General features: G+C 41.6%; 1 protein-coding gene across 38 annotated transcripts in view, besides 2 other annotated features; it reads left to right on the top strand.

Annotated features, from left to right (window-relative positions):
* The window catches only part of IGF2BP2 (insulin like growth factor 2 mRNA binding protein 2), a 181,913-nt gene that overhangs the window by 119,593 nt on the left and 38,360 nt on the right, over positions 1-23,960 (top strand). For 16 of the 38 annotated variants that reach the window (NR_138486.2, XR_007095624.1, XR_007095628.1 and 13 more), the window contains 5 exons: positions 7,103-7,151; positions 8,787-8,838; positions 12,688-12,751; positions 15,823-16,095; positions 18,259-18,393. Coding sequence is in view for 31 of the 38 variants with exons in the window: in XM_047447321.1 (XP_047303277.1) it covers positions 7,103-7,151; positions 8,787-8,838; positions 12,688-12,751; positions 15,823-16,095; positions 18,259-18,393 (573 nt within the window). In the remaining 7 variants the exon portion in view is untranslated. Of the gene's footprint in view, positions 1-2,462; positions 3,635-7,102; positions 7,152-8,786; positions 8,839-12,221; positions 12,274-12,669; positions 12,752-15,822; positions 16,096-16,229; positions 16,343-18,258; positions 18,394-23,960 lie in introns of those variants that run through there. The other 22 variants (XR_001739984.3, XR_007095625.1, XM_047447319.1 and 19 more) reach the window with 8 other exon arrangements.
* Positions 15,782-16,981: an enhancer, noted in NCBI's record as "P300/CBP strongly-dependent group 1 enhancer chr3:185406257-185407456 (GRCh37/hg19 assembly coordinates)". NCBI's record gives its function as "activates an origin of replication core promoter dependent on BRD2, BRD4, P300/CBP, MED14 and CDK7 cofactors, with strong dependence on P300/CBP, by STARR-seq in HCT116 cells {active_cell/tissue: HCT116}" and the evidence as "EXISTENCE:reporter gene assay evidence [ECO:0000049][PMID:35650434]".
* Positions 15,949-16,126: a silencer, noted in NCBI's record as "fragment chr3:185407112-185407289 (GRCh37/hg19 assembly coordinates)". NCBI's record gives its function as "represses an EF-1alpha promoter that drives an FKBP-Casp9 reporter gene in an ReSE screen in phorbol 12-myristate 13-acetate-treated (for megakaryocytic differentiation) K562 erythroleukemia cells {active_cell/tissue: K562(+PMA)}" and the evidence as "EXISTENCE:reporter gene assay evidence [ECO:0000049][PMID:32094911]".

The following is a 23,960-nucleotide window of genomic DNA, read 5'->3' as shown; positions in this document are numbered from 1 at the left end:
CAGGGAAGTTACTGGGTTCATAACTGCAGTTCTCCTGGCTCAAAACCCTTTGCAGGGCTGGGCACAGTGGCTCATGCCTGTAATCCCAGCACTTTGGGAAGCTGAGGCAGGCGGATCACGAGGTCAGGAGATCGAGACCACCCTGGCCAACATGGTGAAACCCTGTCTCTACTAAAAATACAAAAATTAGCCAGGTGTGGTGGTACGCACCTGTAGTCCCAGCTACTCAGGAGGCTGAGGCAGGAAAATCACTTGAACCTGGGAGGCGGAGGTTGCAGTGAGCCAAGATCGCACCACTGCACTCTAGCCTGGGCAACAGAGCAAGACTGCGTCTTGCGGGGGAGCCCTTTGCAGCAGGTCACCACAGTATTTAATTTAATCCTCTTATGATTTGGCTCATAACACTACCAATATTCATAGGGATTTGTGCTTATCATTTGTTTTTTCTCTTAAAAAATACCCCAAACTGCTTTTTGTTCATTGTGTTCATTTTCAACAGTTTATTTATGTTGAACACATTTCGTTTCCTAATGCATTTATTTTATTTTGGATTCCATAGAGGCGGAGGCAATTGTTCTTAGTCATTTTGCAACAAAGAAAGTGACTAAACAATTTTTTTTCATTGACTCTTAATCAGTCTCTGTGATCCTCCCGTGTGGTGTCTGGGTTTGAGAGAAAGAGAGAACTTTAAGAGACAGTTGGGCTGGCGTGGTGGCTCATGCCTGTAATCCCAGCACTTTGGGAGGACAAGGTGGGCTGATTGCTTGAGCCCAGGAATTCAAAACCAGCCTAGGCAATATGTCAAAACCCCATCTCTACAAAAACTACAAAAAATAGCTGGGCATGGTGGCTTGGGCCTGTAGCCCCAGCTGCTCAGGAAGCTGAGGTGGGAGGGTCACTTGGGCCGGGGAGGTCAAGGCTGCAGTGAGCTGAGATCACGCCACTGCACTGCAGCATGGGTGACAGAGCAAGACCGTGTCTCAAAAAAAAGAGACAGTTGGGTAGAGGGTTGGACTTGGCTATCACTGGTGATTTATTTGCTTCCTTGAGCAGCCCTAGGTCCTAGTTCAGTTTAGCACAGGATGTCCCTTGTACAGAGTGACCAGAAGTTTTTAGGGGAACTTTCAAACTAATGAGGAATAGGAAAGACACACTAATGAGCGCGTGCAATAGACTGGAATCTGACTGCAGCGCTAAAGGGGAGGAGGGCTGGGAGCGCTGGTGGTTTCTGTCCCAGCTCGGGGCCGGTTAGCATACCTGCCTCTCTTTACAGGTAATGCACATGAGGAAATCCCTTTTATCATCTGATGGAGCTCAGAAATGTTGTGGAAACAGATGGGACGTATTTGGGTAGAATCCCGCATGGAGCCCCAAAGGACGCTCTCACAAGGCCCTCTATGTTGCCTCTCTTGCCCAAAAGTTACCTGGGAATCCTCCAGTTCCTAGTTGGCCTAATTCTCCAATGGAAGCTGGAATCCTACAAGCTGGGTTCTCACAATTCATGTTAATTTGTTCTCTAGTCAGACCCACAGCATAACCAAGGCTTGGTTTAGAGTTCTCAAGGTAGCTGATAGACTTGTGGCTAATAGACCATATGCCTGAAAACTATGGCATTATCCTCCTCACACCAAAGCAGGTGTTTTGCTTTCTTTCTTTCTCTCTTTCTTTCTTTCTTTTGAGACAGTTTCTCTCTTGTCCCCCAGGCTGGAGTGCAGTGGCTCAGTCTCGGCTCACTGCAGCCTCCACCTCCCAGGTTCAAGTGATTCTCCTGCTTCAGCCTCCTGAGTAACTGGGACAATAGGTGCACACCATCCACCATGCCCGGCTAATTTTTATGTTTTTGATAGAGATAGGGTTTCACCATGTTGGCCAGGCTGGTCTCGAACTCCTGACCTCAAGTGATCCATCTGCCTCAGCCTCCCAACTTTTTTTTTTAATAATACAGATGAAATGGTTCTTCAGTTTCACGAGGTTCCTCAATAGTTAAATATGATTTTATTTCCCCAGCTGATTGCCTCCTTACTTTAAGCAACAAATTCTACCGTAACTAAATAATTTCTGCCAGGCCCTTGAAATTCATAACAATGGACATCTAGCTTATCTGAAATTCACTCAGTTGGAACCTTCTGTTACCTCTGGGTATCTACAGCCAAAGATAACGTATTATAAATATAACAGATTATAAAATGTATGCTGAGGCATTTATATGTTGAAAGTCCTTGGAACCCGTCAACTATAAATTAGTTAGATGAGCTGGGATTACATATATTTTATTCTGTAGTTCTTTACAGTTTGATAGTCCACACATGTGTGCTATAATCAATTGACCAGAGTCCAGAATCGGTGAAGGTAGCCAGTTCCCTAGCAAAGCAGGGTGGCTCCAGGGCTGCATTACTCGTTTCCTGGTAGGTGGCCCTTTCCCACACACTTAGTTTACTTGAATTTGAGAGTGGGAAGTTCTAACTTCCTGAATCCGAAAGCCACAGGGAAAGAGCCTATATATTTGTATTAAAGAGCACCCTTCGCTTGACTTCAGGTCTTATTCTGCTTCCAGTTAAAATGAAGGTGAAATAAAGACATGTTCCTGCTGCTCTTTTTACTTCTGTTTGAGGGTGAGCTGAGGGAGTTGAAGGCTCATTCTGGCACACTTGTGAACTGCAGGTGGAGGGGCTTGGTGTGAAGGAGTGTTTAAAGATAGAGATGGGGAGGAGGCAGCAGCAGGGAGTCAAGGAAGGCAGGAGTAGCCCTCTCCGTGTGTGGAAAAAGTGACTGGCAGCCAGGTGAGGAGTGGATGGGAGAGGGGGAGGTGCAGGCCAAAGATGGAGGGACCAGCTGGGAGACGGCTGTAATAGTTCTGTGGCTCTGTGAGTGAGGATGAAAAATGCCTTTTACCTGTAATTAGAGAAGCTTGGTTTCATCTTTAACATATTGGAACTGTGAAATTATTATTTTAAAGGACAAAGAATTATTTTCCTATTACCAATCACTTTCCTAAGTTACTGTGTGTTTGGTTTTTTTAAAGCAGGGCACAGTTTCAGGGAGAAAGATCGATACTCTCATTTGAGACTGAGCCAGATACTTTCCTTTCTTGTCTAAAGGAAGGAGGGAAACGAACACCTCCTTCCCTCTCCTGTTGACTTCCTGGCAAAGAAAAAATAGACAATTCGTTTTCCTGGGTGGGGTCAGGAGGATCTTCATCATGAACAGACTGCAGCCAGCAGCAGGAGTGCTCTTCTCAGCCCCTGTGTATGAGACCCCGTGCTAGATGGTGGAATAGTAAACAAGGAACCTGTCCTTGATGAAATCACCGCGGGGGTTGAGGGGACACAGCACTAGCAGATAAGTAATTATGGCGAAGAGTGAGCTACCAGAACAACCGAAAAGTGCAGAGGAAACAGTTCTTTCTGGAGACATTCTGGAAAGCTCAGCAGGGATTATGTGTGAGCTGCGTTTTGAAGGACATGCCAGAGTCCCTCCCGGGGAAGGAGGGGACAGGCCTCCTGGGTACCCTGATGAGAAGGCATACTGTCCAGATGATGCCACAGGAGTCAGCAGATCTCAGAGATCCTAATTGCTCATGACCCCAAAAGATAATCCCTCAGGATAGTCTCCCAAATGACCGGCTGAACTCCAGGTTAGTTGGTTCTACCGTAGTGATCTCCATTTCTCTTTTTAGCTCTCAGTTCCTTCCTTTCCATCCTGATCTGAGATCAGAGGTGCGACAGTCCAGCTTTTAAGAGATTATTCCTCCAAGTGTCTGGCTTAACAAAGCAGGACATTCCCAGTTACTGAACTTATGTGTAGTGTTTACTTGAACTATTACAGGGAAATGCCATTGTTTTAGATGCATTCAGTTAGTATTTGGGGTAATCAGCATTGGGCGGAGTTTTCCTACTTTTGCACCGTGAAGTGTTTGCCACATACATTAATAGTTCTGTGGCAGTGAGGATGAGAAACGACTTTTACTTGTATTAGATTTCAAGAATAAGAAATAAGATTTCAAGAATACCTAGTGTAATTATGGAGAAAATGAGGCTTGGTTTTTTCTTCTTTCTTTCTTTCTTTCTTTTTTTTTTTTTTTTACTTAGCAGGTTCCAGTATACTTTAAAAAAAATAAGTCTTGTATATTAAGGCAACCCTAATAGAAGTTTTCATTGTTCGTTTTTTAAAGCCTGTAGGATAAGACATGAATATATTCTCAATTTTAAAAAGTAAACAAGGGGTGGGCATGGTGGCTCATGCCTTTAATCTTAGCACTTTGGGAGGCCAACGTGGGAGGATCACTAGAGCCCAGGAGTTCAAGACCAGCAGGCAATATATCAAGACCCCATCTCTATTAAAAATTTAATAATTTAAAAAAATATAAAAAAGTTAGTAGCTAAAAGTATTCTTTTACCAACTAAATCTGCTTGGTGCAGCCTTTTTCTGTGCATTTACACACATACACATTGAATAACAGGTAGTTTGGTTTTGTGCTTTTTAAAAGCAGGATCAATTTAATCTGTAATTACCTCTTTTCTTGTAACAGCATACCTTGGAGAGTTTTCTATGACAGTGCATGCTTGTCAACTTCATTTTTAAGAGCTGTATAATATTCTATATTCAGCTGTATTATGATATATGTATTCATCTCTCGTTGGTAAATATTTAGATTGTATGCACTCTGTTACAAATAATGTTACAGTTGCTGTCTTTGTTCACATCTCTCTGTGCTCATTCGTGAGTTTCTTCCAATAGAATATCTACCAGTAAATTGTTGGTTAGCAGTTGGAGTCAATGTTTGTATTTGGAAATAACAAAAATATTTTTCTTTAGAAATATTTTATTTTCTTGAGAATTCTGATGCCCTTTCTACAGACTGTTAGGCTTGGTGACATCTTCCATAGAGAATTTCCATGTAGCCACTGTATGGGATGGTGCTGGCAGTTTTATTCTGAACTATTGCCAAAGGCCATGTCGGGAATTAGCCTTCACAGCATAGAGGTAGAAATTAGTTCTTGATTCTTTTTCCGTCCTGATACACAATTAGTGATTCTGTATAGTCATTAAAGCAGCCCTAGTAAGGCACGAATACATTAATATTTAAAAAAAGATAGACAAGACTGAAGTAGTATATGGGAGCTAGAATGGTGGGGTTGCCCCTGTGACATTTCATAAAAAGGAGCTGAGAAAACTAGAGCCCCTCATTTAATTCATTATTTCCCCATTTGTTTCCATCTCTGTACCTCTGTGTGTGTGTCTCTCCTTTTCTCTTTCTGCTTGAGTTGTAACATTTCTCTCTGGGGCTGTTGCCCAGATTAAAGCCCTGGAGAAACATGTGACTGTGTATAGCCACTGTTTAGTACCTCTGACCCCGCAAGGTGGTACACCACATCTCTTTTCTGGCAACCCCCCAAAATGAGTATTTATAGGATTTCAGTGTCAAGCTCTTCTATTAAAACAACGTCTCTAACATTTAAATGCTTTATTTCCAGGATATCCAGCATGTTCTCAAAGATAAAAAAAAATTACATAACTTATACTGTTCTTTTTTCTGTCTAATTTTAATTGCTTAAGTAAAAACAAGAAACAATCTAAGTCATTCAAAGCTTTCAGACCAGCAGGATGTCTTGGGGAAAGCCTCTGAATGAAAAGGCCCAAATGTCCATTAGTAGGGGATGGATTAAATATACTTCAGGATACCTATGTAGTTATGAAATAGAGTGAGGAAGCTCTCTAACTCTACCTTGAGGAAGATCTCAAGAATATGACTGTCAGGTGAAAAAAGCAAGATGCAGAGAATGTGTAGAATATGCAGATACTTCTCTAAGAAAAGGGTGAAAATATGAATATATATTCACATTTGCTATTATTTGCATAAAGAATCTGAAGGATACGCAAATAACATGTAGAAAGTATTTCTGGTGAAAGAGGGGGTGGTGAGACTTTTCACAGTATAACTTTTTATAGTGTTTTAACTTTTGAATTAGGACTGTAGTACCTATTCAGAAATAAAAATATTTTTAAATGGCATTTTGCCTTGTTAGGTAAGGGGGCAACTAAATCTGATCTTGTTGAAGCCCACTATATGACCTCACCTGTCCTGTTTGAGCCTAGGTACACTTTGGGGTCAGGTCAGTTGCAGGCCAATATATTTTGAGGAAGAAGGGGATAATTGTATAAATAGAATCTGTATGATGACTTAAATTCTAACTACTTTGGTAGGAAATTGAAAAGATGAGTCTGTATTTAAATTATTATTATTATTATTATTTTAGCTTGTTGGGATTTCTTGGGTTTTTCATTTGTTTTTTGTTTTTTTCCAAAGTAATTGAAAACCTTAAAACATGCTCATGAGGCCAGTGTGGTGGCTCACGCCTGTAATCCCAAAACTTTGGGAGGCCGAGGCAGGCGGATCACTTGAGGTCAGGAGTTCGAGACCAGCCTGGCCAACATGTTGAACTCCCATCTCTACTAAAAATGCAAAAATTAGCCAAGTGTGGTGGCACATGCCTGTAATCCCAGCTACTTGGGAGGCTGAGGCAGGAGAATCACTTGAGCCTGGGAGGCAGAGGTTGCAGTGCGCCAAGGTCACACCACTGCACTCCAGCCTGGATGACAGAGTGAGACCCCTTCTTAAAAAACAAACAAACAAACAACAACAAAAAACCCACAAAAATTAGGTGTGGTGGTGGGCACCTGTAATCCCAGCTATTCGGGAGGCTGAAGCAGGAGAATCGCTTGAACCCGGGAGGCAGAGGTTGCAGTGAGCCAAGATCGTGCCACTGCACTCCAGCCTGGATGACAGAGCAGGACTCTGTCTTAAAAATCCCAGCTATTTGGGAGGCTGAGGCAGGAGAATCGCTTGAACCTGGGAGGCAGAGGTTGCAGTGAGCCGAGACCGCACCACCTATACTCCAGCCTTGGCGACAGAGCGAGACTCTGGCTCGAAAAAAAACAACAAAAAAACTATGCTCATGATTCACAGTAGGAATTTTTTGTTGATGCCATGGTGAACACAGTGAGAAAACAAATTCAAATGACGGGTTTAAGCCGGTTTTTATTATTTGCTGTAGTTTGTGTCCTGGAGAAAGTGTTATAGTCTGTGGTTTTATCTTTACAGGAGCAGGAAAATTCAGATTCGAAACATCCCTCCTCACCTGCAGTGGGAGGTAAGCCAGTGTCAATTTTTAATGGGTTGATGAGACATTTCTCCCTTCTTTAGTTCCATTTTACATTTAGGAATTAGAGGGCCTCAGTGTTTCCCACAAAGCTTCTGGGTCCTGCCTCTTTCTTTTCAGTACCCTAATGTATGTGATCTGTAATGAGTTTGGGGTCGTATTTGTTTCTTTCATAGAATGTGTACTTTGATCCCTCATGTTCTGTCTTTTCAAGTACCATGCTACCAAGCACCAGCAAATAAGCCAAGAAACAAAATATATACCTGGTTGTGATTTGTATCTCATGGTTTGTTGGTTTGTATGTTTGAGACAGTGTCTCACTTTGTCACCCAGGCTGGAGTGCAGTGGCCCAATCATGGCTCACTGCAGCCGGGTCCAGGGATCTTCCTACCTCATCTTCCCACCCCAGCCTCCTGAGTAGCTGGGACTCGATGCATGCCACCATGCCCGGCTAATTTTTGTATTTTTTTAGAGATGAGGTTTTGCTATGTTGTCCAGGCTGGCCTCGAACTCTTAGGTTCAAGCAATCCACCTGCCTTGTATCTCATGATTTTTAAAAAGATTTTTATCTTTCCAGATTATAATTTGGAAAAAAAAGTGAATGAAAAGGCAACAAAAGTAGAAAGGTCTTTGTTGGTTTTAGCAGAATTTTTTGTTTGTTTTGAATTAGTTGCTGTGACAGTTAAGGTATGTTTTCAGAGTTGTAAAGCTTATAAGATTTCTACCTTAAAATAAAGTAAGAATATGAGGAGTGGCCTTATTGTGATTTAAAAACAAACTGCCTCATATTTTATTCCCCACCCAAAGAAAACACCGTGCCTTAAAGGAAACAATGTTTTATCTAATGTTTTTATTACTTTAAAAAAAAAAAACACACGATTATTGCCTGGGCGTGATGGCTCACGCCTGTAAATCCCAGCACTTCGGAGGCCAAGGCAGGAGGATCACTTGAGGTCAGGAGTTTGAGACCAGCATGACCAACATGGTGAAACCACGTCTCTACTAAAAATACAAAAATTAGCCAGGCATGGTGACAGGCATCTGTAGTCCCAGCTACTCGGGAGGCTGAGGCAGGAGAGTGGCTGCACTGGAACCCAGGAGATGGAGGTTGCTGTGAGCCGAGATGGTGCCACTGCACTCCAGCATGGGTGACAGAGGGAGACTCCATCTCAAACAAAACAAAACAAAACAAAAAACCTGATTATTATGGAACATTTCAAACATACACATCCTATTACCTTGTAAAATGAAGAGATCCTTGTAAAAGAATTGTTAAATATTTCAAGAAAGTGGAGTGAGTCTTGTACTTTATTCTGCTTCTCATTGTAAGAGTAGTGTGTTCCAACCATCATGACGAATGTGATTGTTAACAGTTACTAAGAGTCTGAAATTCTGCTGTGTAACCTTAGTGAACAGATTAATTGGGAGCCAATAAGCCAATGTAGGTCCCATATATTTGTTCAGTTCTAACTGTTTTTATGGAAGACCTGAGATATCAATTTAATTAGATTATTCCTATAACCATCTTTTTTTTCCTTTAATTTGTTTGCTGGGGTATATCACTGTAGTATTTTTTGTACATATGATCTTGCCTTCCCATTCTGACATGGAAGCTTTCTCTTTTAGGTGTTGGATGGACTTTTGGCTCAATATGGGACAGTGGAGAATGTGGAACAAGGTAATAAGTGAGGAAGCCTTTTGGGTTTTGGAGAGAGATATTATCTGTTATTTCTTATAGGTTAGGTCAACTCCAGGGAGAAATAGTAAGTTCATATTTCTTTGAAATAAGCTTCCTAGAGTATATGTATTTACATCTATGTAAGATGTATCTTACATAGATGTGAGAGATATCTGTCTCTTTCTATGTATGTCTATGTAGTTTGCCTTTTCGAGGAATATTATTTACAAGCTGTTTCTCATATACTGTGCAGTGTGCTCAAGCACTGACAAACGCTGTCAGGCTAGGGTAAGCTTAATTCACTTAGGAGTAATTGGATTTACACGGTTGCTACTTTCCTTTCCCTGGATAAGAAAAACAGATCCCTAATGTCTTGGACTGAGTGTTACCCAATGAATAGGACTCCTATACCAATAATCCCTTGAAGTGCTTGTGAATTGCAGACTCCTAGGGCTTACTGTAGACCTGCTGAGTAAGAGTCTTGCAGGGAAGAGCTCGTGAATCTATATTTAAAAAAGCACCCGAGGCCAGGTGTGGTGGCTCATACCTGTAATCCCAGCACTTTGTGACGCCCAGGTGGGCAGATCACATGAGGCCAGGAGTTCAAGACCAGCCTGGCCAACATGGCAAAACCCCATCTCTACTAAAAATACAAAATTAGCCAGGTATGGTGACGCATGCCTGTAATCCCAGCTACTTGGAAGGCTGAGGCACGAGAATCGCTTGAGCCTGGGAGGTGGTTGCAGTGAACCGAGATTACACCACTGAACTCCAGCCTGGGTGACAGAGTGAGACTTTGTCTCAAAACAAACAAACAAAAACCCTGAAGTGATTTTTGTGTACACTCAAGTTTGAGAACACCTGTCTCAGGAGCAGTGCTGCAAATGCCCAGAAGATACTTTTCTTCCTGCCAACCTCTTTTTTATCTTCTAAAGCATGAAATACTATGATTTTTAAAAGGAAAACAGTGGTACCTAAAGCTGATATCTTATCTAGCTCTTTAAGAGTCCCAGAAAAGTAGATTCCAAACTCCTGATGTGACAGGCAATAATACATGATAAAGATTATTTTTGCCTTGACCTAGAAAACAGAATGTAAATTCAGTCATTTACTGACTGCGAACCCTTGAAAAAGTCAAATAACCTCACTGACTCAGTATGCACAAGTGTCAAATTGAGAGAGAAATTTCTACCCTTCCTCTGTCACTGGATAGTTGTGTTACCCAAAGAGAACCTGTATAAGGCATTTGTAGACAGCAGAGTCATACGTAAGCTGAAGGGATTGTTCAAGTTCACTTAGGAAAAATTGCAAACAACCCATTTTCTTGTATATGATCTATTCTGCTAGTTTAATTAATAGTTTTAAAGCAGTAATTATTCAGATATTATTCAGTTTATGCTGCTGCCTGCCCATGCCCAAAGGTGAAGGGAAAGAGCTCAGAAAGAAGACATGATTTATAAGGATTCTATTTCTTAGTTCTTATTTCCTTCGACATGGAAAGAAGACTCCCCCTGCTTTTTTTTTTGAGGCGGAGTCTCACTCTGTCGCCCAGGCTGGAGTGCAGGAGCATGATCTCTACTCCCTGCAACCTCCACCTCCCGGGTTCAAGCAATTCTTGTGCCTCAGCCTCCCTAGTAGCTGGGATTATAGGTGAGCGCCACCATGCCTGGCTAATTTTTGTAGTTTTAGTAGAGACAGGGTTTCACCGTGTTGGCCAGGCTGGCATCAAACTCCCGGCCTCAAGTGATCCACCCACCTTGGCCTCCCAGAGTGCTGGGATCACAGGTGTGAGCCACCGTGCCCGGCAGAAAAGAAGACATTCTAATGATTGGGTGTTGTAGGCAAGATGGTCTTGCAGACATGAACCTGTAAAAGTTACTAGTTAAGATTATATTATAAACTGAGGACAATGCTACGCAAGAAAAATATATTCCAGGTCCCTGGGGCAGTTTATAGGTCCTAGGGCAGCTGTGTGCTGGAGACCCCCCAGTTTCCAGCTGCCTAACAACAACAGGATAGAACTGTTGGGCTATTGTTTTGTCCTGTTACATGAGTGATTCCTGATTCAGCAGGAAAATATTTTCAGTAGAGTTTTAGGCAACTTTATAGAACTTTCATGCCCAGTGAAATAAATTATTTGAATGGAGCTTAGCTCGTCACAGAATCAAAGAACTGCCTGATTTCCTGAAGACTAACATCTTTGAAGAACAGAGCATATGACTAAGAAGTGAGCACAGAATCTGAGAATCCTAATGGATAGCTTTATTCAGGAGGTTCAAACCCAGCCCTTTCTGGGAGTCTACAGCCTTATCTGTAGCACTAGAAAGCAGCAAATATGAAACCTTTTTAGCATTCTCTGTGTCAGCACTGAGAGAGGACAGTAATGTGCTACACCTCCCCTGTTTTGCACTGTGAGGACTTCTGTGGGTTAAGTGTGAATTAAAGCGTGCTATGAACACTCCAGGCCAAGGCCAGAGCTGGGCTCGGGTTTATTACATGTAATTCTCAGTGGCAGCTCTTTCTGAGCATTACATACAACTCCCTGCAACCCATAAAGGCTGCAGCTGCTTTAAAGTTATTTAACAAACAGTATTTTTAACAGTAGTCCTTAAGCTTTTCGGGGTCTCAGGTCCCTTTGCAAATCTTGTAAAATAACAAGAAAAATTCACATTTCTACAAGTTTGAATCATTTTGGAGGGGTTTATAGAATTCTTGAAGCTCAAGCATGGGTCCAGTGTAAAGAATCGTATATTATAGAGTTTTATTATTACTTTGGACAGCAGGTTTATCATAATTTTCTTGAATTATCTTTAACTTAATGTTGTTGTTAACTCCAAACTCCCAACAGCTTAAATCTTTTAAAGGGAAGAATTGATCTAGTCACCTTTGTTTTGGGAAACATATATTTTTGGTGTTTAAGTTTACTGGCTTGGATTGAGAAAGTTTTCTCTGGCATTTGAATTTATTTTTAATTTCTAACTATAGAAGAAGAGGCAAGAAATTATGATCTAAGACAAGACAACTCACAAGAGTAATCCCTTATTAGCCAATCATAGAGTTTATACTTTCTCTTTTAGCCAAGTAATTAGAATTGTCAGTTTTATTTATTAGATTTAACCCACACAGTCAAAGAGTTCAGTCAAAGGGAAACAAAAATAGTGATGGTTCAACCTTGTCAGTGAATGAATAATTTAAATTAAAATATTTTCTTATTGTTTTATATGTATATCCAATTATTTAAGAATTAATGCAAATTATAATTAAAACTCATACCTTGATAGTGATGTAATAAATTGATACAAACTTCTAGGAGACCAGTCTGAAAATATGCATTAAAAAGCATCATGTTCTTTTACTGCATTACTTTTCTTCTGTGATTTTAGCCTAAAGAAGTAATTCAGAAGAACACACAATCCAGTGATGTTTGCAACAAAGGTGATTTTTAGCAACACTATTTAGACTAGCAAATAGTGGGAACAGCCTACTTACCAACAATTGGGGAATGGTTAGGCAAGTCATGGTACATTTGACTCACTGCAATTTTATATAGACATTAAAAATGAAAAATACAAAGAAAATGTACTGATACAAAATACTCATATAAAAGTGTTTATAAAATATGTGGAAAATATAGTTCTGAGTTGTTCATACGATTGATTACAAACGTGTTATATACAATTGATTACAAATTACTGTGAACTCAGATGAATAAACGTAGAGATGCAGATAACTGTGGAGCCAGTGTGATGAGGGTTTTATGCATTTTTCTCTAAAGTTTGTCTGTTTACATTAAGCCAGAGGGTGACAGCACTTTTTCCTATGACAGTGTAGTTTTTGCCTTTTCCCTAGTCAACACAGACACAGAAACCGCCGTTGTCAACGTCACATATGCAACAAGAGAAGAAGCAAAAATGTAAGCAGATTTGGGCTTATTTCTGTTTAAATTTATTTGTTTTTATATTTGAATTCCATTGAGTTCTGTGTTTTTAAATGTTTTCTAAAAAGATGCAGATCTTTGAGCTGGATATGTGCCACCTTTGACATACCCATGGAGCTCCACGGCATCTGAGCCACCTTTGACATATTGGTAGAGCTCCAGGGTGTTCCTGCCATCTTTGACATGTCAGTGGAGCTCCAGGACATTCACACCGGGATATTTGTGGATTGTGTAGAGACTTGAAAAATGTTGAGCCTTGGCATCAAAACCAAGATGGGAGCTGTGTCTTGACATGATCGGGAATAGAGGGCACCATACCTGTGACACTGTGTCTCCTAGACTCTGCTTTGCCAAACACTTGGGACCACTTTTACCTAGAGCTTCCTCCATGCACTGTGAAGAGGCAGCACAAGCCTATACCAAAACATCAATTTTGTGTGTGTAACATTAGGAGGGAATCCACCTCAGTGAGAGCAGCAGCCGAGAGAATTGTCTGAGAGTGGTTACTCAATAGCACCTGGTTTGGGTTCTTTTCTCCAATCCCCATCCTCTTTCCAGTGCCCATTCATTACTTCAGGGATGGTTAATTTTGAGCTTAGCTGTTAATGGACATGAGATCAAGTCTCTTAAAAAACAATGAGGCCAGGCATGGTGGCTCATGCCTGTAATCCCAGCATTTTGGGCAAGGCCGGAGGATTGCTTGAGCCCAGGAGTTTGAGACCAACCTGGACAACATAGGGAGACCCAGTCTCTACAAAAAAACAATTTAAAAATTAGCTGGGAATGGTGGCTTGCACCTGTAGTTCCAGCTACTTGGGAGGCTGAGGCAGGAGGATCACTTGAGCCCAGGATGGTAAGGCTGCAGTAAGCTGTGATTGCACCACTACCATCCAGCCTGGGCAACAGAGCAAGACCCTGCCTCTCAAAACAACAACAGCCGGATGTGGTGGCACATGCTTATAATCCCAGCTACTTGGGAGGGTGAGGATTACTTGAAGCCAGGAGTTTGAGACCAGCCTGGGCAAAATAATGAGACCCCCATCTTTAAAAGAACAACAAAAACAAGTTCCTTTTTTGTAGGAGGTCCTTAAAGTGCCTGTCAGGTCATTATAACTAGAATTATGGTCACATTTGGTCTTGCTTTATGGGTGTGGCATAACCTTGGCTATATATCCCAGGATTATAGTGTTCTTTTTCAACATACAAAGATATTTAACCCATTTTCATACTGCTAGTTTTCAAAATGTTAATTTTGCATTGAAAAAGATAATGGTTCAGGCCAGGCGTGGTGGCTCATGCCTGTAATCCCAGCCCTTTGGGAGGCCGAGGTGGGCAGATCACCTGAGGCTGGGAGATCGAGACCAGCCTGACCAACATGGAGAAACCCCATCTCTACTAAAAATACAAAATTAGCCAGGCGTGGTGGCGCATGCCTGTAATCCCAGCTACTCGGGAGGCTGAGGCAAGAGAATCACTTGAACTTGGGAGGCAGAGGTTGCAGTGAGCTGAGATCGCGCCATTGCACTCCAGCCTGGTCAATAAGGGCGAAACTCTGTCTCGAAAAAAATAAAAAAAAAGAAAAAGGTAATAGTTCATTTAGTGTTAACTTTACCTTGTACACATTTGTAAGTGGAGATACACCAACAACTCAACTCCACAGCCCTTATCTAGCTGCTGCTTGGGTGGACCTCTCTACATGATATTACTCTATTGCTTTTATTAAATTCAAAAGGTGCTGCTTTGTAATAAATTTACAAGTCCTAGACATTAACCTAGTAAAATTGGGTTAATGCTACTAAAAATATGTGAAAAGGATAGTGTATTTCGTGTGTCATTTTAAGAATATAATAGTGGTATATCATTTATCCCCTATCAAATTGATAAATATCTTTAAATAACAGCGCTCTGTGCATTTGAAGATTCAAGGACACAAATGCTCTCTCCTAAACTGCTATGGGATCATAAATGTTGAAACCATTCCAGGGGCCCACTGGGCAATAGTTAACAATTCTACTAGGAATTTGTCCTGTGTGCAAAGTTGTAGTTGCAAAGATGCCAATGGTGACAGTGTGTGTAACTGTAAAAGGTTGGATACAACAGATATCTAACTATAAAGGATCAGTTGCAAAAACTATGGTAAATCAATAGAATGTTAAACAGTCATTAAAAATTATACTGATACTGCAGTTGAGTCATGTGTAAATTATACTGAAAGGTACTTAGTGACATTGAAAAATGTTTTAGAATATTAACTGTTTTTTTAAAGGTTAGAACATAGTATGTACAATATTAACCCATTTTTATAAGCAATAATATGTTTATATTTAAGAAAGACAGTAAAGATAGTGGATTAGGATTTTATTTGCACTTACATATTTCTGAATTTTCAATAATATGTATGATGATTAAAATGAGAAAAAAATGAGTCATAATTTTATACTGATATTTATAAGAGTTTTTGATAAGGGGGAAATGGCCTTGAGTGGTGGAGAAACCAGGCTGTAATGTTGGATATGAAGCCTGACCAGGCTGATGCGTTGTGATTACTTGTTTAACTGTTAACCGTAAGCCCTGAGGGAGCAGAGATGGTGTCTGTCTTGCTCACCACTGTATGTTCAGTGCCTGGCATGGCACCATATAGGCACCTATTAAATGGGAGTGAATGAACCAGTCTTGCGGGAGGGTCTTTCTTTTTTTTTTTTTTTTTGAGACGGAGTCTCGCTCTGTCGCCCAGGCTGGAGTGCAGTGGCAGGATCTCGGCTCACTGCAAGCTCCGCCTCCCGGGTTCACGCCATTCTCCTGCCTCAGCCTCCCAAGTAGCTGGGACTACAGGCGCCCGCCACTACGCCCGGCTAATTTTTTGTATTTTTAGTAGAGACGGGGTTTCACCGTTTTAGCCGGGATGGTCTCGATCTCCTGACCTCGTGATCCACCCGCCTCGGCCTCCCAAAGTGCTGGGATTACAGGCGTGAGCCACCGCGCCCGGCCGGGAGGGTCTTTCTTGATGTTGGTTTCTGACGAAGCTCCCCTGTCCTGCTGCATTTCAGAGCCATGGAGAAGCTAAGCGGGCATCAGTTTGAGAACTACTCCTTCAAGATTTCCTACATCCCGGATGAAGAGGTGAGCTCCCCTTCGCCCCCTCAGCGAGCCCAGCGTGGGGACCACTCTTCCCGGGAGCAAGGCCACGCCCCTGGGGGCACTTCTCAGGCCAGACAGATTGATTTCCCGCTGCGGATCCTGGTCCCCACCCAGTTTGTTGGTGCCATCATCGGAAAGGAGGGCTTGACCATAAAGAACATCACTAAGCAGACCCAGTCCCGGTACGTGCCTGTGGGGCTTCCTTTGCTTCCTTCTGAGGGGTCCCCTGCGTGCTGGTGGGTCTCAGCCACTCTTAGGTCACAATTGCTTACATCAGCAGTGGGGGGCTGTGCTGTAAGAGACAGTGGCTTCTTTCAACAGGACTACTAACAGACTAACATCAAGCTGGGGGCTGTGACAAGCTTTCATGCTGAGAGGCTAAAAGTTCATAAAGAGGGTACTGATAACCTCACAGCCAGGACTGTTCCTGTAAGCGAACTAATGCTTATGGATGCATTGATTTCTACAAAAGCAGAGGTTTGGAGCTCTGCGGGATCCTAGAACCCACTCATCATAGCTCTTCCTCTTCCCCTGAGTCAGAGCCCTGGGGGTGGCCATTCTTGTGACAACATAGGTAGTCTCACAAAGAAGTGGGTGAGTCACTGCCACGTCAAGCAAGAAATAAAGCACACTGGCCTTCTGTTTAGTTTCCTCCCTGTTCAAGGAGACTGAACTGATTGTAAGAGTTGGTGAATAAAACGTCTTATGGAATTGTTGATTTTTGTATCTTCCTAAGACTGTAGCATGATGTAATAAAGCAAGCTCGGGACTTGAAAACAAAGACTTACGTTCAAGTTGTAGCACTTTAAATGGTTTTGTGATCTTGGAAAAGATGTTAACCTCTCTGAGCATCAGTTGCCTCTTCTATAAAAAGAGGGTTCTGGCTGGGCACCCTCTGTATTACAGAGACTCATCCCTGTAATCCCAGCACTTTGGGAGGCTGAAGCAGGGGGATCATCTGAGGTCAGGAGTTCGAGACCAGCCTGGCTAACATGGTGAAACCCTGTCTCTACTAAAAATACAAAAATCAGCCAGTTGTGGTGGCTCACGCCTGTAATCCCAGCTACTCTGGAGGCTGAGGCAGGAGAATCACTTGAACCCAGGAGGCGGAGGTTGCAGTGAGCCGAGATGGCGCCACTGCACTCCAGCCTGGGCAACAGAGTGAAACTCCATCTCTAAATAAATAAATAAATAGAGGGTTCCTGTCTGTTTTGCCAGGATTATTATGACAATTAGCACAATCAGGGAGATTGAGTGAAATAATTAATATGAAAGTACTTAAATTGCAAAGCACCCAATTACTGACACATAATAATTATTTACATGGGCTGGTACACTTTATTCAGGTCATTCAGTGGGTGTCTTGTAACCTGAAAGAGAAATGCTATTTTCTTCAGAATGTCTTATTTATCCCCAAATAATAGACACTGATATGGATGAGTCTGGAGTGCCACATCTTAGAAGTGAGGAAATAGAGAGGGAAGTTACTGTTTGGTATCCTTTTATTTTAAAATCAGCCCTGGCTTTTCCTCCAAGTTCACTGCGAAAGTGACTTTTATTTGTGTCTTTTTGTGCAAAAATTGTGTAAGGTGGCTTGAAAAAAAAATGTAACAAGTTTAAATAGAAGTGGGGTTAGCTCTCAAAGTGTGTGCCCATTTTTTAGACGTCAACCAAAGACTTGGCTCTAGGCTTTCTAACAACCAAAGTAAAAAGGATATAATCAGTTATGTAATTTTGAAAGTTAACAAAAACAGGTAGGACCACAACTACCCAAAGAAGTCTGATAAAGTCATCAAGCTTTTGAGCCATTAGTCTTAATGGCAGGCTGCCAATGGAAAGGAAACCAAAAACTTAGGCAGAGAGAGGGCATGCCTCTGTTTTCTATCCACACTCAAATATATAAAGCTTGCTTGAATTTGGTGTTCGGATTTGGATTAACATATGGCTTTTAAAAGCTGCAATCAGTTCAGAGACCGGCACTGTGCCAATGTGCAGTATTATCCTTCTCACTTTACTCTTCACTTCTGCAGTCATTTGAAAGACTACACAAAATACTTCATTTACCAAACTGGCTTCATTACTGAGTTGGCTTAGTGCCTTTGTCCTACAGCACTCCTGTAAGAACCGTTCCCTTCTAAATGAAGCTGCAAATAATTAAAATTTGGCACAAGACCCCCTGCACTGCTTGCCTCCTTCTTGGAGAATGGCACTGATTGCAAACGTGCTGATGACGCCTCCTTGTCTGTCTGTGTCCTTGCTGTACATGGGTTGGTGTGACGCTTTCTTGGGGCTAGGGTCCTATCCAGATGACCTTGTAATCATGGCTCCTGATTCTTTTCCTACAGGGTAGATATCCATAGAAAAGAGAACTCTGGAGCTGCAGAGAAGCCTGTCACCATCCATGCCACCCCAGAGGGGACTTCTGAAGCATGCCGCATGATTCTTGAAATCATGCAGAAAGAGGCAGATGAGACCAAACTGTAAGTTTGCATGCAATGCCCAGATCACTCAACAGAGAAAAAGAGTAGATTCTCCCTCATTTAACCCAAGAGGTTTTTTTTAAAAACTCCAAATCTGTTACTCAGTAACAGAGGCAGGGAGGGATTGTGTTTAAGAAATTTGTTCCCAAGTAGAATACAGTGGGAAGTAGATCTTTTGCATTTACATATGGCTGTCTCTTCACTTGCATGTCTCTCGGTGATTTTGATGCTTCTATCACCCATTGATAGTAATTATTGGGAGGAACATACAGACTCATGCTGTCCAATAGAACTTTCTGCAATGATAGAAATGTTCTATATCTGCACTGTTCAATAGCCACATGTTGCTATTGAGTATTTGAAATGTGGCTAGTACAGTGGAAGAACTGAGTGTTTTATTTTTTTACTCAGAGTTTGGTAGCCATGTGTATAGCTAATGCCCATTGAATTGGACAGTGCAAGTGTAGAAAGTATGTTGTCACCAAAGCTATCATTTATTGTCCTGGAAAAGATTTCTCCCACCATGCTTCTAAATTGTTTGCACTCTTAACATTGGATTACATTTCCTTAAGTAGTAGAAACTAGTTTACACATGGCTGCTTTATTCTTCTTCCACTTTTTTCTTCTATCTGTCCTTCCTCCTCACTACCCCCCTCTCCTTTTTTTTTTTTTAAGACAGAGTCTCACTCTGTTGCCCTAGGCTGGAGTGCAGTAGTGCAATCTTGTCTCACGGCAACCTCCGCCTCTTGGGTTCAAGTGATTCTCCTGCCTCAGCCTCCCGAATAGCTGGGATTACAGGCGTGCGCCACCATGCCCAGCTAATTTTTGTACTTTTAGAAGAGACAAGGTTTCACCATGTTGGCCAGGCTAGTCTCGAACTCCTGACTTCAAATGATCTGCCCACCTCGTCCTCCCAAAGTGCTGGGATTACAGGCATGAGCCACCATGTCCAGCCCTTTCCCCTTATTTTATGAAGTAATTATAGGATTCCACAGTGTAATGAGGGTTGTCCCAGTTTGAATGACAAATACAGTTCTTACCAAACAAATTAACTTTGTATTATAAATGAATGAGTGGTGATGGAATAGATAATACAATAAAAATAGACTTTCATGCTGGGTGCAGTGGCTCATACCTATAATCTCAGTGCTTTGGGAGGCCAAGGTAGGAAGATCGCCGGAGGCTAGGAGTTTGAGACCAGGCTGGGCAACATAGTGAGACCTCCATCTCTACAAAAAATTTAAAAAATTAGTTAGACATGGTGGTGTATACCTGTAGTCTCGGCTACTCAGGAGGCTGAGGCAGAATTGCTTGAGCCTAAGAATTTGAGCAATGAGCTATGATTGCATCACCACACTCCAGCTTGGGTGACAGAGCACCACCCTGTCCCTAAAAAAAGAAAAAGTAGATTTTCAGTTTGGCAAAATCTGTTTGTGGGTAGCGGTGGCAGTTTTATAGAGAAGTAGTGAGGGGTGAATCAAATAATGTCAAACATGAGTGTTCCAAAACCAAGATGAAAATGGTCCTTAAAAGAAGAACATTACAAATCTATTCTTAGATTTCATAAGAGACTCTATCCTTTCTATTATGAATTATTTATTCTACTTGGGCTTTTGAAATCCCCCAAATGCCACAGTTTAATTTGAAAAAGACATTTCTCATCCAAGTTCCTGGGAACTTAGTAAATAATACTTTTCTGGATTCCTTTTTTTTTTTTGAGACGGAGTTTCACTCTTGTCGAGTACAATGGCATGATCTTGGCTCACTGCAACCTCCCGTCTCCCGGGTTCAAGCAATTCTCCTGCCTCAGCCTCCCGAGCAGCTGGAATTACAGGTGCCTGCCACCACATCTGGCTAATTTTTGTAATTTTAGTAGAGACAGGGTTTAACCACGTTGCCCAGGCTGGTCTCGAACTCCTGACCTCAGGTGATCCACCCGCCTTGGCCTCCCAATGTGCTGGGATTACAGGTGTGAGCCACTGCGCCCAGCCACCTTCCTTGATTCTTCAACCTAGGTGCAAACAACTTAATAAAATTCTAAATTAGTCAAAAAGACTAATTTACAACTTGGGCTTTTATGTTTTCATGTAGAGCCAAGATAGAGTTTGAATATCTTAGAAAAAAAATTTTTCAGTGCCTACACTGTGCTAATCACTGCTGGAGGTTGAGGCTACAACCATGAGCAGGACTTGGTTCCTGCTTTTTTTTTTTTCCTTCCCCACATACCATTTTTTCACCCATTGGTTCCTGCTTTGATGGAGCAGTCCAGTGGGAGAGACACTCATTAAACAAATAATGAGTAATTACACCAATAAGTAATTAAGTGCAGCTATAAGAAATGCTACAGTGAGGCTGGATGTGGTGACTCACGCCTGTAATCCCAGCACTTTGGGAGGCTGAAGCGGGCGGATCACTTGAGGCCAGGAGTTCGAGACCAGCCTGTCCAACATATAGTGAAACCCTGTCTCTACTAAAAATACAAAAATTAGCTGGGCGTGGTGGCACACGCCTGAAGTCCCAGCTACTTGGGAAGCTGAGGCAGGGGAATCTCTTGAACCTGGGAGGTGGAGGTTGCAGTGAGCCGAGATCGCGCCACTGCACTCCAGCCTGGGCGACAGAGCGAGACTCCATTTCAAAACAAGAAAAGAAAAAAAAAAAAGAAATTCTACAGTGGAAAAATGTAGTATCCAATGATGACATGTAACTGAAGGTCCTAATGAGGGTTTTAGGGGGACAAGGATTTGGGGGTTTCAGAGAATGCCTCCCTGTGTAGGTGACAGAGCCCTGAAGGGACTGAATAAGAGGTAGAAGATATAGGAGAACAGAGATCCTAAACTTTCTTTTTGTTCATTTACCAAATATTTATTGAGCAGTCACTATGTGCCAGACACTATTCTATGTGCCAGGAACTCAGCAGTGAACAAAGCTGACAAAAATGCCCATCCTCTGAAAGTTACATTCTAATGCAGCTTCTTCAAGCACCCTCTTTATTTTGAGGCAGTAGTAATGCATCTGTTAGATGCTTTTGGTCTTCAAGCAACAGAAAATACAAGTGGTATAACCAATAAGAAAAGGATGTCATGTCACATAACAAGAAGTCCTAAGGCACACGGCTCCAAGGTCAGTTGAATCATGGGCCCAGAGACCCAGAACATTTTTCTGCTCTACGTTCCTCAGCATGTCTCACGTTCCCTTGGTTATAATAGGATGACTATAGTGATTTCAGATGTGCATTCCCACAAAAAAGTTACAAATTGAGGGAGAGGGCATCCCTTCCTTGTGTCCTTTTTTCAGAAAACTTCTTTAAAAGTTGTGGTTAAACAACCATAACATAAAATGTACTGTCTTGGCTGGGCATGGTGTCTCATGCCTGTAATCCCAGCACTTTGGGAGGCTGAGACAAGGTGGATCACTTGAGTCAGGAGTTTGAGATTGGCCTGGCCAACATGGTGAAACCTCGTCTCTACTAAAAATACAGAAATTAGCCAGGTGTTGGGGTGGACACCTGTAGTCCCAGCTACTTGGGAGGCTGAGGCATGAGAACCGCTTGAACCCAGGAGGCGGAGGTTGCAGGGAGCCGAGAGTGCACCACTGCACTCCAGCCTGGGTGACAGAGCAAGACTCCATCTCAGAAAAAAAAAAAAATTATTGATCATTTTTAAGTGTACTTTTCAGTAGTCTTAAGTATATTCACATTGCTGTGAAACAGATCTCCAGAACCTTTTCATCTTGTAAATCTGGAACTCTGTACCTATTAAACAACTCTCTTTTCCCTCTCCCGTCAGCCTCTGGTAATCACCACTTCTTTCTATGAATTTGACTACTCTACATACCTCATATAGGTAGAATCATATACTATTATTCTTTTGTGACTGGCTTATTTTACTTTGCATAGTGTCCTCAAGGTTCATGTTATAGCATGTAACAGGCTTTCCTTCCTTTTTATGGCCAAATAACATTCCAGTGTATGTATATAGCACATTTTGTTTATCTGTTCATCTGGTGATGGACATTTTGAGGTCTTCTGCTTCTTGGCTATTGTGAATAATGCTGCTATGAACATGGGTTTTCAAATAGCTCTTCAAGACCCTCTTTTCAATTCTTGTGGATATGTGCCAAGAAGTGAGATTGCTGGGTCATATGGTAGTTCTACTCTTAATTTTTGGGGGAGCCTTCATACTTTTTCCCATAGCAGTTGCTCCATTTTCCAACCCCACCAACAGTGCACAGGGGTTTCAGTTTCTCCACATTCTCTCCAACACATGTTATTTTCTGTTATTTCGATAACAGCTATCTTAATAGGTATGAGGTGACAGCTCATTGTGGTCTTGATTTGTATTTCTCTGATGATTAGCGATTGGTGATATTGAGCATCTTTTTATATATTTATTGGCCATTTGTATATCATCTTTAGAGAAATGTCTATTCAAATCCTTTGTTCATTCTCTAATTGAGATATTTGATTCTTTCGTTATGGGAGTTGCAGGAGTCCTTTATGTATTCTTGATCATTAACTATATATTAGTCCAGTTGGTGCTACTGTAACAGAATACTAAAGACCGGATAATTTATAAGGAACAAAAGTTTATTTGGCTCACAGTTCTGGGAAGTCCAAGAGCGTGATGTCAGCATCTGGTGAGGGTTATCCTATGGTGGAAGGCCTGAGGCAGAAGCAAGTGCAAGAGACAGAGAGAAGAAATAGGTCCAAACTATCCCTCAACCCACTAATTCACTCTGTGATAACTGCATTAATCCATTCATGATTAATTAATTAATTAATGCAGGTGATTAACTCATCACCTCCTAAAAGTCCTATCTTTCAACACTGTTCCAGTGGCAGTTAAATTTCAACATGAGTTTTGAGGGGAATTTGAAACCATAGCAAACCCCTTATCAAATAAATAATTGGTGAATATTTCTCCCATCCCATGGGTTGACCTTTCACTCTGTTGATTATATCCTTTGATGCACAAAAGTTTTTAAGTTGATGTACTCCCACTGGTCTAATTTTGCTTTTGTTGCCTATGCTTTTGGTATCATGGTGAAACCAAGAAGTCTTTGCCATGTCCAATATCATAAAGCTTTCTCCTGTGTTTTAGGAGTTTGATAGTTTTAGGTCTGTTTAGGTCCTTAACCTATTTTGAGTTAATCTTTGTATATGGTGTAAAATAATGGTTCAACTTCATTCTTCTATGTGTGTGTCCAGTTTCCCCAGCACCATCTGCTGAATAGACTGCTCTTTCCCCATCTAGTGGTCTCAGCACCTTATCAAAAATCATCGGAGACTATACGCAGGATTTATTTCTGGGCTCTATTCTATTTCATTGGTCTATTTATCTGTTTTTATGCCAGTACTACACTGTTTTGATTATGTAGCTTTGTAATATATTTTGAAAGCAGGAAGTCTGAGCCCTTCAACTTCCTTATTTTTTGAAATCATTTTGGCTATTCAAGGTCCCTTGAGATTCCATATGAATTTTTCTATTTCTTCAAACAATGCCCACTGTGATTTTGATAGAGCTCATATTGAATCTGTAGATCACTTTCGGTAGTATAAACATCTTCAC

Source organism: Homo sapiens, chromosome 3 (genome assembly GCF_000001405.40).
Source record: "Homo sapiens chromosome 3, GRCh38.p14 Primary Assembly".
NCBI classification, from domain to species: Eukaryota; Metazoa; Chordata; class Mammalia; order Primates; family Hominidae; genus Homo; species Homo sapiens.
The sequence above is the reverse complement of the archived record's forward strand: the minus strand, read 5'-3'. Positions and strand labels throughout refer to the sequence as shown.